The sequence below is a fragment of the Homo sapiens genome, chromosome 18 (genome assembly GCF_000001405.40).
Source record: "Homo sapiens chromosome 18, GRCh38.p14 Primary Assembly".
NCBI classification, from domain to species: domain Eukaryota; kingdom Metazoa; phylum Chordata; class Mammalia; order Primates; family Hominidae; genus Homo; species Homo sapiens.
Window position 1 is genome coordinate 22040359 of NC_000018.10, and position 13144 is coordinate 22053502.

General features: G+C 46.4%; 1 pseudogene, besides 1 other annotated feature; it reads left to right on the forward strand.

Annotated features, from left to right (window-relative positions):
• On the forward strand, positions 2999 to 3060 carry RNU7-17P (RNA, U7 small nuclear 17 pseudogene; annotated as a pseudogene).
• Positions 11792 to 12384: an enhancer, noted in NCBI's record as "H3K4me1 hESC enhancer chr18:19632111-19632703 (GRCh37/hg19 assembly coordinates)". NCBI's record gives its function as "activates a minimal SCP1, AML or CMV promoter by ChIP-STARR-seq in primed H9 embryonic stem cells {active_cell/tissue: H9 hESC(primed)}" and the evidence as "EXISTENCE:reporter gene assay evidence [ECO:0000049][PMID:30033119]".

Genomic DNA, 13144 nt, shown 5'->3' on the forward strand with positions numbered 1-13144 from the left:
TCCATCTCAAAAAAAGACAGAGAGAGAGAGATTATTTTGCGATTTTTTTTTAAAGCTTATCAACTATCTCTAGTGTTAGTGTATTTTATGTGTGACCCAAGACAATTCTTCTTCCATTGTGACCCAGGGAAGCCAAAAGATTGGACACCCCAGATCTAGATGTTTGAAATGTCCTTTTGGCTGGTCTACTATTTCCCAAATCTTCTTTAACTAAGCTATCATCAGCACAGCTGCCAAATAGATCTTTCCAGAATGCGGTTTTGATAATGTCGCTCCTCAGCTTCAAAACTCTTTAGTGGCTCAACATTACCTTCTAGATAAAGATCAGACTCTCCGACTTGGCACCAGGTCCCTGTGTTGGCTTGGGCCACATGCCCCTTTGCCCTTTGTACTTTAGCAATAAAGAGCTCTTATTTTATGTCTGGCTTTTTCTCCTATATGATGGCAATCTCATTGAAACAATTTGTTTACACACCTGCCTTCCTTGCTAGACTATGAAGCACTTGAGGGCAGGAACTCTGTTTAGCTTGTTGCAGCCTTTCACACAGGGCCTGGCATGAAGTCCGTACAGTCATTCATTTCATAAGCGTAAAGATAGATGGGAATATCTCCCATCACGTGCCCACATTCTTGCATATATTAAAATGTCATGTTCCTTTGTCGGAATCTCTTAGTAATTTTAAACTGGAGATCAGGAGTACCACATTTTAGGACAATACTGAATGCTGACCACTTGGGAGTTGCTTTCCAAAGTGAAGAATGACTGTAAATTAAAATGCCGGCATCTGGCCAGGTGCGGTAGCTCATGCCTGTAATCCCGCACTTTGGGAGGATGAGGTGGGTGGATCACCTGTGGTCGTGAGTTTGAGACCAGCCTGGCCAACATGGTGAAACGCTGTCTTTACTAAAAATACAAAAATTAGCCAGGTGTGGTGGTGCACACCTGTAATCCTAGCTACTTGGGAGGCTAAGGCACGAGAATCTCTTGAACCCGGGAGGTGGAGGTTGCAGTGAACCTAGATGGCACCACTGCACTCCAGCCTGGGCAACAGTGCAAGTCTCCATTTCAAGAAAGCAAGACAAAAGAAAACCAAAAAAATGCCGGCATCTGAAACACTTACATGAAAGTAATCCTGTTTCATGCTCAGTTGTCCATTTTGCTCTTGGAACATGAGATAGATCAAGTGACAAGGCTTTGGGGGGTCGTTTAGGCTGCTGTGAGAGGAGGATAAAGAGACCGGCAGTGAGAGAGAAGCCTGTCCAAAACAGAATTCATGGTTTTGCCACCAACTTCTTGACCCACCCACAGGCCTCTTGTCAGTTAACAGCATCACAGGAAGGCCAGTCTCCTCTCGGCTTTCTCCCCTCACACCCTGTGTGCCAGCCCCTCAGAACTTTCCTGAGTTCATGAGAACACCCTGGACACCATCATATGTCCCTGCTTTGGTATGGATCAACAATGTTCTTCCATTGACCCTTGATTTGGTGGGTTCTGCATTCCTCTTTACTGTGTGTGTACACACGTGCATGGGTGTGTACATGTCTGCATGTGTGCATATCTGTGTTTTTACCCTCCTTGATCCTGATCAACTGCCTCCTCATCCATGGAGTTTTCTCACCTCCTCCAGGAAGAATCAGTCCCTTGTTACTATACCTTGTTGAGACAGTTCACATGCTGATTATTTGTCTTTGTATGAACTGTGGGTCCCCATCACATAGGGGCTGTGTTTACTTTTTCCTGAAAGGTGCCCCCCACCCTAGCACAGTGCTTGGCACAGAGTATGCCTTAATCACTACATAAATGTTAGTGTTAAAGCCACTCGCTCACTCACTTACTCTGCTCTTTCATTCGATCAGCCACTACCAGGTGGCTGGTATCCAGTTTTCCTAACCTCCCTCCCCATCCCGTGAAAGGACTTTGCAGACAGAAACCCTTTCTTTTCTTTCTTTTTAATTTTTTAATTTTTTTTTTTTGAGACAGAGTCTTGCTCTGTTGCCCAAGCTGGATTGCAGTGGCTGCGATCTTGGCTCACTGCAAGCTCTGCCTCCCGGGTTCATGCCATTCTCCTGCCTCAGCCTCCCAAGTAGCTGGGACTACAGGTGCCCACCACCACGCCCGGCTAATTGTTCTGTATTTTTAGTAGAGATGGGATTTCACGGTATTAGCCAGGATGGTCTCGATCTCTTGACCTCATGATCCGCCCGCCTCAGCCTCCCAGAGTGCTGGGATTACAGGCCTGAGCCACCGTGCCTGTCTCTTTTTAATTTTTTTTAAGGTGGAGTCTCACTGTCACCCGGGCTGCAGGGCGGTGGCACAATCTCAGCTCACTGCAACCTCCGCCTCCTGGGTTCAAATGTTTCTCCTGCCTCAGCCTCCTGAGTAATTGGGATTACAGGCACACGCCACCATACTTGGCTAATTTTTTGTATTTTTAGTAGAGAGGGGGTTTCACCATTTTGGCCAGGCTAGTCTGGAACTCCTAACCTCAAGTGATCCTCCCGCCTTGGCTCCCCAAAGTGCTGGGATTACAGGCGTGAACCACCGTGCCTGGTCAACAAACGGAAACCCTTTCTGAGGTCTGTGCCAGGCCTAAAGTGTTATCTCTCCTTGCCTGCCATCAACCCCTACGTTCCTTCCTGAACAAAGTTATTTCTTTTTCCCTCTTTCCTTCTTTAGAACAATGCCCCTGTCTATCTTTCTATTTGGATTACCCCTGTATAAAAACCAGGTGTGCTCTGAGGGTGGTCTTTTGGAGAAGGATAATCAAAACTCTCCAAGATGAGCCTACTGATGATGTCCAAGACTATGGTCTCCATATTAAGAAAAAGTCTCACTGGTTCTATCTTTTATTCTGCAGTAGCATCTCTTCCTCAAAGATGAGCCAGCCGTCATTTGAAGAGGAGGAAAGACTGGATTGGGGAAGAATCTGGGGCAAAATGAAGCCAAATTGAGAACGAGGAGAAAAGAAGATGCTAAGGCCGCAGATAAGGAGGTCTTGAGTGTTACAGCTCTTTTTGAATTTGTCTAGCATGCTTTCTGCTTTTTACTGGAAAGTGCCCCCCCCCAAAAAAATAAAAACGAATAAATAAAAAAGAAAGATTTAAAAAATAAAAGAGAAAGAAGGGCCTGGGAATTGTGGCTGCTCAGAGGACACCCAGCTCTGAGTTCAGTAGACTCTGATGAAGTGCCGCTTCTGCTTATGGTTGTCCCTTCCCATCTATCCTGGTTCTGTTTATCCTGTCTCATATCTCTCAGGATAGTCAGGGCAGCTTCCCCTGTTCTCTTGCCACTGGCTCCAACAACCTGCCTGTCACACATTCTATCTTTTGCTTCTTCAAAATATCTCTAAGATTGACTCTTCCTTTCCTCTCTCCATCAAGTTCCATCTCCCGGGCTGATCCTGCTCCTCTGCGATACGTTCTGCAGATGGTCCTGTGTGGCCCAGTCTTCCAAATGCACCTCTTCAGGGATGCCCATCCTCAGTTAGAGAAACGTGAGTGACCTCGAGGCCCTGCAGGGGGTTCTTCCTTCTGACTCGGCATACTTATTTCTCACTGCACCCGAAAGGAAACCCCTCAATGCAGTTTTTAGAGCTGTCTCCAGTCCCCAGTCTCTTCCTGACCCTGCATTCCTGCACTGGCTGAGATAAACCTTTCTCCTCCTCACTTAATCTGCCACTTAATCTGCATCCTGCCATCCATGAGAGGACTCCAACCCAGGCTGAAGTCTCCTTCTTTGCTTGCATATTAAATGAGCCTGCCATTGCTGGGCATGTCTCTATCCTCTTGCTGGTTAAAATGGTGTTGCTTTCAGCCAAAAGCCTTTGAAAACTTCACAGAGCCATGTCATCTGTCACATACATTGCAAAGAGCAAAACTGGTCAAAGTTAAAGCAAATTTAGTCATTTAGCATAGGGTTGTTTTTGAATGATCCCAGGGATGTTAGTTTTGTCCCCCCACCTCCCAATTTGCTACTGCTGCTGGGGTGTCTGTGAGCCTCTCACAGCGTGTTATTTAGGGCTGGGCTCAGGGGCGGGGGGAGACGCTCACTACACACACGCTAATTGACTTATTGAGTTAGTCATTTGGTCTTTGACAAACATTTATTTACTGCCTACAGAGAAGGCTCAAGTCGATTTTTACTTATCTTCCCAAATGGCACCAAAATTCAACAAGAGCCACCCAACACCTAGGAAAGGACTTTGACCAATGAAAGCAACTTGAGAACAGGTTTTGCTGCCTTCAGCTCACCTTGAGCAGGGGCCAAGCTCAGTGCGTTGGGAAGAGGCACAAAGAGCTCACTTGCTGCATGCTGTTTGTTCAGAAATAGCCTTCCTGAAGCATGAGTCTATTGGTGAGAACTCAGCCTTACAAAGTCAACACAAGGCTTCTGGCTGATGCTCCAGGACACTGGGCTGCTGATGCCTTCCACGCAGATCCAGAACTTCTTGTCCTCTGGGTTCACAATTTCACAGCACAGGGAGTCAGTCCTGGCTTGGCCTCTCCCTCTCACAGACCTGTGGTCAGGGTTTGTGGCCAACTGTAGGGCTTCCTTAAGGGAAGGGGTTTGTAAACCCATTTCTCTAAGTGACCTCCCTGAGCTGCAGCCTTCGGGCTGGTTCTCTCCTCTCTGCATGGCTGTAGCTCTCTGGGGCTGAACATCCCAGTAGCCAAGTGGACAAGTAGACTCTGAGAGGTGGCTATTGAGGCAGAGTAAGGGACTAGTGGGAATCTCTATTGGCAACAGAAATGCAAACGTACCTTCAGGTCAGGTTTAAAGGCCTAGTCAATGATTACATATTTTTATTATTTACCTAGTAAAAATTCCCTTGAGAGGGAGAGAGAAAGAGGAGAGAAAGAAAGAGAGAGAGAGAGAGAGAGAGAGAGAGACAGGTGCTTGATTCTCCACCTCCAAATTTTAGGGTCTATTCAGAGCTTTTGTGGCCATGTGGGGACATCTGTGATCTCTGGCTTCTGGGCTGGGCTCACTCAGAGCAGGGCAATCCAATGGTAGGCCTAAGACTTGTAGACCTTAGCCTGGGAGAGGTTCTGCTTCAAGCAGAAAATGTGGAGCCACAGAGAGGCTGCAGCTCAACAAGGTAATTCTCCCAGCCTCCAGATGACAAAGGTTGCATTTACACCTGGCCAGGAGGTTTAATCATCTACCTTTTCCAAACACAGCAGGCTAACAACCGGCTGGGCCGAAAATCATAAATTAAAAAAAAAAAATCACCAATAAGAGACAGTACAACGGGAAGGAGGAGAAAAGTGGCTCAGTGTCCTTGCTCTAGAGGAGGAACCCCTAGGTTTAACCCCTAGTGGGACCCCTGGGTGGGGAGCCATGAGTGAAGGTCCCACGTGGGAGCCTTTGATGAGAGACTGAGCCAGTGTTCCCCACGCCAGCATGAACAGCACAGTTGCCACAAATCCCATGAAAAAATGGCCCCCTGTGGGCCAGGGTTGTCTGTCTCACCATGGCTGTGGAGAAAGAAGTCTCTGCCATTAAGATCTTCCCCTGGGGGCTTGCAGGGAGGACTGTGCCATGTTACCGGTTCTTTTATGTCTTTGCTTTCTTGTTAGAGACCAGGCTGTCTTTTTGTCACCAAATCAGGCAGACTGGCGTAGCAATTACATGCTTCCACCTCATGTCAGACTACCTGTGTTCAAATCTCAGCTCCATCATTCACCTGTGGCTTCGGGCAAACAGCCTCAGCTCTCCAAGCCTTGGCTTCCCCATTTATATAATAGGGATGGTAATAGTACTTGCCTTATAGAATATCGTTGGGGTTAAATGACATAAAGTGTCATTATTATTATTTCATGGAAAAATGCAATTCAGGGGACTCAGAGATAGCTTTAGCTGTGGGTTGATGGTATCTGGGTTCGATGCATTTTAACCAGAATGATGACAGATTTATGTGTAGCAGAGACTTGGGGACGCTGGTGTCCACAGGACGGTGGTTACACATTAATTTTTCACATATGAATCTGATCACACCAAGAAAGCCACAGAACTCCATCAATGAATAGGATCTTCATAATAAAGTTTTAATGGCAAAGGCAAGATCAATCCTTTAGGTAATTAGCAATAAATAGTATTGGATGTCTATACACAAGACACTCTGGTCAGTGCAGGGGACCTAGCAGAATTGGATCCAGGCTCTCCTCTCTCAATAAATTTACCATCTTGATAGGGGGACAAGACATACATGTAATTAGCTAGATAGCAACTCAAGATAACATATGTCAAATGCCAAATGAGTTGTATTGTAGAGCAAATGTATTTGTGTCTTATCTCTTCCACTCACTCCCTGAAGACAGAAACCACATCTGTCTTGCTCATGATATGTCCTCTGCGCACATCTGCATTATTGCCGAGGCTCCCTGAATACTTACTTTGGCCCAGGCACTGTTCTCAGTGCTTCATAGGCATTAGCTCTTTTAAGCTTATCACATAGACTATGATGTAGATACTGTCATCAGCCCATTTTCAGGATGGGAAAAGTGGGTGAGAGAGAAATGCAAAAACTTGCTCAAAGGCACATGGGAACACCTGTTACCACTCTGCAGTGTCCATTGCACATACTAGTAACTTTCCCCAGCTGCCCCCTCCAGTGCCTAGTGCCGTACCTGGCACAAGGGATGGGGAAATGCATTTCTGGGGAGCCCGCCAATGTTCCAGATGCTGCTAGGCACTTAACGTGGGCCTTCTCACTTCATCTTTACAAACTCCATTGAGGTAGGGACCACGATGTTCATATGAAGGAGGAAGGGGGTTCTGAGAGGCCAAGGATGTATGCAGGGTACAGGCTGGCAAAAAATGCTTCCTGGGCCAGGCACGGTGGCTCATACCTGTAATCCTAGCACTTTGGGAGGTGGGAGGATCACTTGAGTCCAGGAGTTCGAGACCAGCCTGGCCAACATGGCAAAACCCTGTGTCTACTAAAAATACAAAAAATTAGCTGGGTGCAGTGGCACATGACTGTAATCCCAGCTACTTGAGAGGCTGAGGCAGAGAATTGCTTAAACCCAGGAGGCGGAGGTTGCAGTGAGCTGAGACTGCGCCACTGCACTCCAGCCTGGGCGATGGAGTGAGACTCTGTCTCACACACACACACAAAAAGCTTCCTGAATGATTTACAAACCAATAGACTGACTTGAACTGGGACAAGTTTGGAGCTCAGAGGACTGGGGTGGTGAAGGAAGTCTTTTCCAAGAAGCAGTGTGTCCACTGGATTATGAAGGGATTGGATTTGGGTAAGCAGGAAATGCGGGAGAGAGATGGAACTGGAGTGGGAAGGCTGCACAGGAGCCTTGGCAGTGAGCTCATGCCAGCAGCCTGGCTGGAGTAAACGATATGTGCAAACAGGCTGGAACAGTGAGAATGGTAGATCAGGGACAGATTATAAGAGGACTTGAGTGCCAAGCAAAGGAGGAGAGACCCTGAAGGAACAGAATCCACAGAAATAAGCTGGCCGTGTCTTGAATGCTTAATGCTTCTGGATCTTTAACTGGGTCCAAACATTTGATAAGCCTGGCATGGCCTTTAATTTCTTCATGCTACAATTATATTGAATTACATAACATCTTTCATCAAGGCCACTGGAAAATTACACAAAACATTTGTTCCATACAGCATGGGAAAGTTTAAACGTCTTGCAGGAAAATGCCAATGTCCTTCTTTTCCTGTACTTTTGAGTTAAAGGGACATTCTGAGGTCGTACTGCCTCATTGTTGAGGAAATGGAGCAGGCAGTGAGGACCAAGGCATAAACCTTGCTGTAACCTACCAGGAGAGCTTAGTGCTGCTCCCAACTGTTCATTTCAGTGCCAGGTGCCCTGAGGTGCCAGATCCACAGCTATCTGTATCACTGCCACCAGTTTGGGTTTCTGGCTGTGTGTGTGACCTTTGACACAGCTCCTTACCACTCTGATTTTTGTTTTTCCACCTGTGGAAAAGAGGATCATAATGGTTCCACTTCCTTTGCCTACCTGGCTATGGTGATGAACGTGCTGGTGTTTGCTGAAGGCCAATGGGAACCTAGACATCACATAAGCACCTGTGCTCTGACTCTGGGTAGCACCCAGATGGTGGTGGCGGTTCTCTATTTGCTCTCATTACAAAGACAGAATCTCATTCAATGCCCAGTTCCTTTGCTTTGTCCCATTATAGTGAAGCCAGGATTATGGACGGAGGTCGGGGGATGATGGTGGCGTGGTAGAGAAAATAAAGACACCAAGATGGTTGTTTGTTTTTCATTGGTGTTTCATATTTTGTTAGCTGTGATTTCTGGACATTGGAAAGTTGTAAAGAGTTATCTTCCGTATCTTGCAAGTTATACTTCAATTATAAGTATACAGTGAAGTGGCTTACACCTGTAATCCCAGCGCTTTGGGATGCTGATGAGGGAGGATTGTGTCAGCCCAAGAGTTTGAGCTCAGCCTTGGCTATGTTGCCAAGGTCTCACTATGGTGAGACCCCATTTCATGAGGGGAGAAATAGGTATATATATATACACATATACATATAAATACACATAAACTTTGCCGAAGTTGAAGGTTGGAAGATGAAAGAACTGGTATTTAGTGCTCTAATTTAGAATATAGTTCTTTTAGTATGTAACTCTTCTTTTTTCATTCATTTTGGGAAAAGACGCTGGCCTTTTTTTTTTCAAGGAGAAAGACAAAAATAGCTCCTTAAACTACCAGAAAGTATTTGTTAAAAGGTCCTTTGAAGCTATTGTAGAATCTTCTGTCATTGGTTCTAAGCCTCAAAGAAGTAAAACCCTAAGTAAACAGTGTGTTAATTATTGGTCATGTGGAACTTAGAATGGAGGACCAGACTCCTCTGAAAACATTTGGGACTTTCCTCAAAATTCCATGTATTTTTCAAATGGATATTTGAAAACCTTTGATTAAGCGAGCCAGGCTTCTTGTTTTCCTGTCCTCTATCAAGATTCAGACTCAGTTGGCCACCCACTGATATGAATCTGTAAATAGATTAAATCCTCCCTTTGAACACACTGGTCCCTAACTTGCTATCTTATGAAAATGTTTGGGAGATGACAACATCAGACCAGCACTCAGCACAGACCAGCATGTCTGCCCTTTGCTAAGGTGACCTGGGAGGCTACAGGTCTTTTGGAGAGAAAGGGAAGAGCCAGAGAATTATAGAACAGAAAATAGGCCTGCACAGAGTCTAGCATCCCTGACCCTCTGACCATCATTCCATGTGTGAATGCACGTGTGTGTGAATGTCGGGGTGGGGATGCTGATTCCACAGGGATCCCACTGTATTTCCATTTAGCCTTGTGCCTTGTGGTAGGCGGGAGGAATATGGGGAACAGGGTTTTAAAAAATATGTATTTTCATAACATATGAGACCCTCTAATCAATACCTGTGCCTGGTGGTGCATGTCTGCCTATTGTGTCCAGCTACCTGGGAGGCTGAGGCAGGAGGATTGCTTGAGCTCAGGAGTTTGAGCTGCAGTGAGATATGATTGAGCCTGTGAATGGTCATTGCACTCCAGCCTAGGGAACATAGTGAGATCCCCATCTCTAAAACAAAACAAAACAAAACAAATATGTATTTTCATTGTCTCATTTCTAAAACCTAATCTGGCCAGGCGTAGTGGCTCATGCCTGTAATCCCAGACTTTGGGAGGCCAAGGTGGGTGGATCACCTGAGGGGAGGAGTTTGAGGCCAGCTTGGCCAACATAGCAAAATGCTGTCTCTACCAAAAATACAAAAATTGGCCGGGCGTGGAGGCTCACGCCTGTAATCCCAGCACTTTGGGAGGCCAAGGCGGGCGGATCACGAGGTCAGGAGATCAAGACCATCCTGGCTAACACGGTGAAACCCTGTCTCTACCAAAAAAAAAAAAAAAAAAATGCAAAAAGTTAGCCGGGCGTGTTGGCGAGCGCCTGTAGTCCCAGCTACTCGGGAGGCTGAGGCAGGAGAATGGCGTGAACCCGGGAGGCGGAACTTGCAGTGAGCCAAGATCGCGCCACTGCCCTCCAGCCTGGGTGACAGAGGGAGACTCTGTCTCAAAAACAAAACAAAACAAAATAAAAATACAAAAATTAGCCGGGCGTGGTAGCAGGTACCTCTAATCCCTAGTAGGGAGGCCAAGGCAGGAGAATCACTTGAACCCAGGAGGTGGAGGTTGCAGTGAGCTGAGATTGCACCATTGTACTTCGGCCTAGGCAACAGAGCAAGATTCCGTCTCAAAATAATAATAACAATAAAATAAATAAAATAAAACCTAATCTTTCTGCCTCCTTCCCTCACCTTCTAACATTCCATATTTTCTCTCATTTATTTTACTTTTTTCTTTAAATGAATCCCTTCTGCTCTCATCTTCCTTATTTTTCTAACATAATCTCCTTTTTGTCTACTTCCTAATTTTTACTTTTTTCCTATTTATTTTAATTCTATTTTTAAGCTTCCCCCTCTTATTTGTTTTTCTCTTGCTACTCTCCCCAGGGGCTGTAAGTCAGAGAACTTGAACTTGACCCAGAGCATGGCCAGACACATCAGCTATTCCCTACATCACGTTTCTTTAAAATAAAGCCTGCCAGCACAAGAGGCTTGTAGAGTTTGCCATAGTACATGTACCCAGGGCTCTGCTTTTGTTCACGATTCTGTATTCATATTGTGATTTTAATAGCTGCTAATCAAAGAAAGAGGCTTTCTAGTCATTGGTAAGCTGGCAAAGAGCAAAACAACCAAATGCCTGACAAGCAGCTGGTAAGGAGGTTGTGCTGGAGAAATAAACATGCAATTGTCTTCCCTTCCACAATTCAGACCGACTTGCATTCTCTTTACCTGGTGGTTACAACAGAGATTCCCGGAGTTTCTAAACTAGAAGTGAGCCTTTAGAAGCAATTTGCAAAGATGCCATAACTGCAGAAAACTAATGAAATAACCAGGTTGGGGGTTCGAAAGTCTGGAGAAAAGAGGAGAGCTCAGCTAAGAACCGTCTGAACGTTTTTTCCATATTCAACCTTCAGCACCTCTGAAGCCCACCCCAGTTCCCTATTTGCCCCCCATACGTGTATTGCTGTTCCCAGTAAAACAGGGGCTTTAGCACAGTGGTTAAGGCCTCTGGAAGGAGACTAGGTTTGAATTCCAGCAAAATAACCTCCCCAAGGCTCAGTTACCTTGACTGAAAATAGGTACAATAGGACCCGTTGTTAAACTAGATGATCCAAGTCAAACAGTTGGCATGGCGTCTGACGCTAATAAGTGCTCAAGTTGTTGTTCTTACCCTTGCCCACTATTGAGGAAGTCCCAAGCCTCAAAAAGACTTAATGGAGAGCTACATGTGCCCAGAGTCCTCCCTCCCCCAGGGAGAGGCAGGAAACTCAAACCCCACACCAGCGCACAGCAAGTGCCCTGCCACCAGGCCCAGCTCCTCCTAACTTCACCTACTTCATAGTGAGCCAGAAACTATTTTAAAGGAAGGTGAGAAAAAATCTTTTACTGTTGTGATAAACATTTCCCTCTAATATCAGTTATCTACTAATTTACTACTGTGTAACAAATCAACCATAAAATGTAATGGCTTCAAACAACAACTTTTTTTTTTGAGACAGCAATTTTTTTTTTTTTTTTTTGAGACGGAGTTTCGCTCTGTCGCCCAGGCTGGAGTGCAGTGGTGCGATCTCGACTCACTGCAAGCTCCGCCTCCCGGGTTCACGCCATTCTCCTGCCTCAGCCTCCCGCGTAGGTGGGACTACAGGCGCCCTCCACCACGCCCGGCTAATTTTTGTATTTTTAGTAGAGACGGGGTTTCACCGTGTTAGCCAGGATGGTCTCGATCTCCTGACCTCGTGATCCACCCGTCTCGGCCTCCCAAAGTGCTGGGACTACAGGCGTGAGCCACCGCGCCCGGCCTTTTTTTTTTTTTTTTTTTTGAGATGGAGTCTTACTCTGTCGCCCAGGCTGGAGCGCAGTGGCGCAATCTCAGCTCATTGCAACCTCGGTTCCCCGGGTTCAAGCAATTCTCCTGCCTCAGCCTCTTGAGTAGCTGTGATCCCAGGTGCCTGCCACCGCGCCCGGCTAATTTTTATATTTTTAGTAGAGATGGGGTTTCACCATCTTGGCCAGGCTCGTCTTGAACTCCTGACTTCATGATTCACCCACCTCGGCCTCCCAAAATGCTGGGATTACAGGCGTGAGCCACTGTGCCGGGCTGAGACTGCATCTTACTCTGTCTCCCAGGCTGGAGTGCTGTGGTGCAATCAGAGCTCTCACTGCAGCCTTGACCTCCTGAGCTCAATCCATCCTCCTTCCTTGGCTGCCCAAAGAGCTGGGAATATAGGTGTGAGCCACTGCGTCCGGCCACAACAACCATTTTTATTTACCCATACCTCTGTGGGTCAGCAATTTGGGTTGGGCTCAGCTGAACAGTTCTGCCTGTCTTGACTGGGTCAGTTGGTGGGCCGGCTGGGACAATGGCTTTTGATGGCCTCACTCACATGTCTGGCATTTGGTGCTGTCTGTCGGGGCTGTCTCTCTCTGCATCTGGTCTCTTATCCTCAAGGAGGCCAGCCAGTCTGGGCTTTTCACAAGGTGGCAGCATTCCAAGAAGACACACACAGAAAGTCTGGACTCTTGAAGCCTAGACTCGGGTATTGCACAGTGTCATCTTAGCCACAATCCACTGCAGGACCCCTCAGCCTCAAAGCATAGGCAAACAGACTCTACCTCTTGATGGGAAACACAGCAAAGTCATACTGCAAATGGACATGCATGTAGGAATGGGAGAAATTATTATACCCATCTTTGCAAATAATCTACGAAAGTCCACCTCTGGTCATAATAAATCACGTCCTTCTTTCATGGGCAATACTTATTCCCCAAAAGCTTATCCCATTAGGGCATCAGGCCTTGAAGTCCAGGATGTGGTCTTTAATATTAGATCCAGATCTGGATGAGACTCCTCTAGTAAATCGTAAAAAGTGCCATAGTAGGTTTAGAGTCAGAATGGTGAAGAGAACTTGTATTTTTTAGTTCACAGGAATCTGCACCATTCTGGCTGGGTGCGGTGGCTCATGCCTGTAACTCCAGTACTTTGGGAGGCCGAGGCAGGCAGATTGCTTGAGGTCAGGAGTTCGAGACCAGCCTGACCAACATGGTG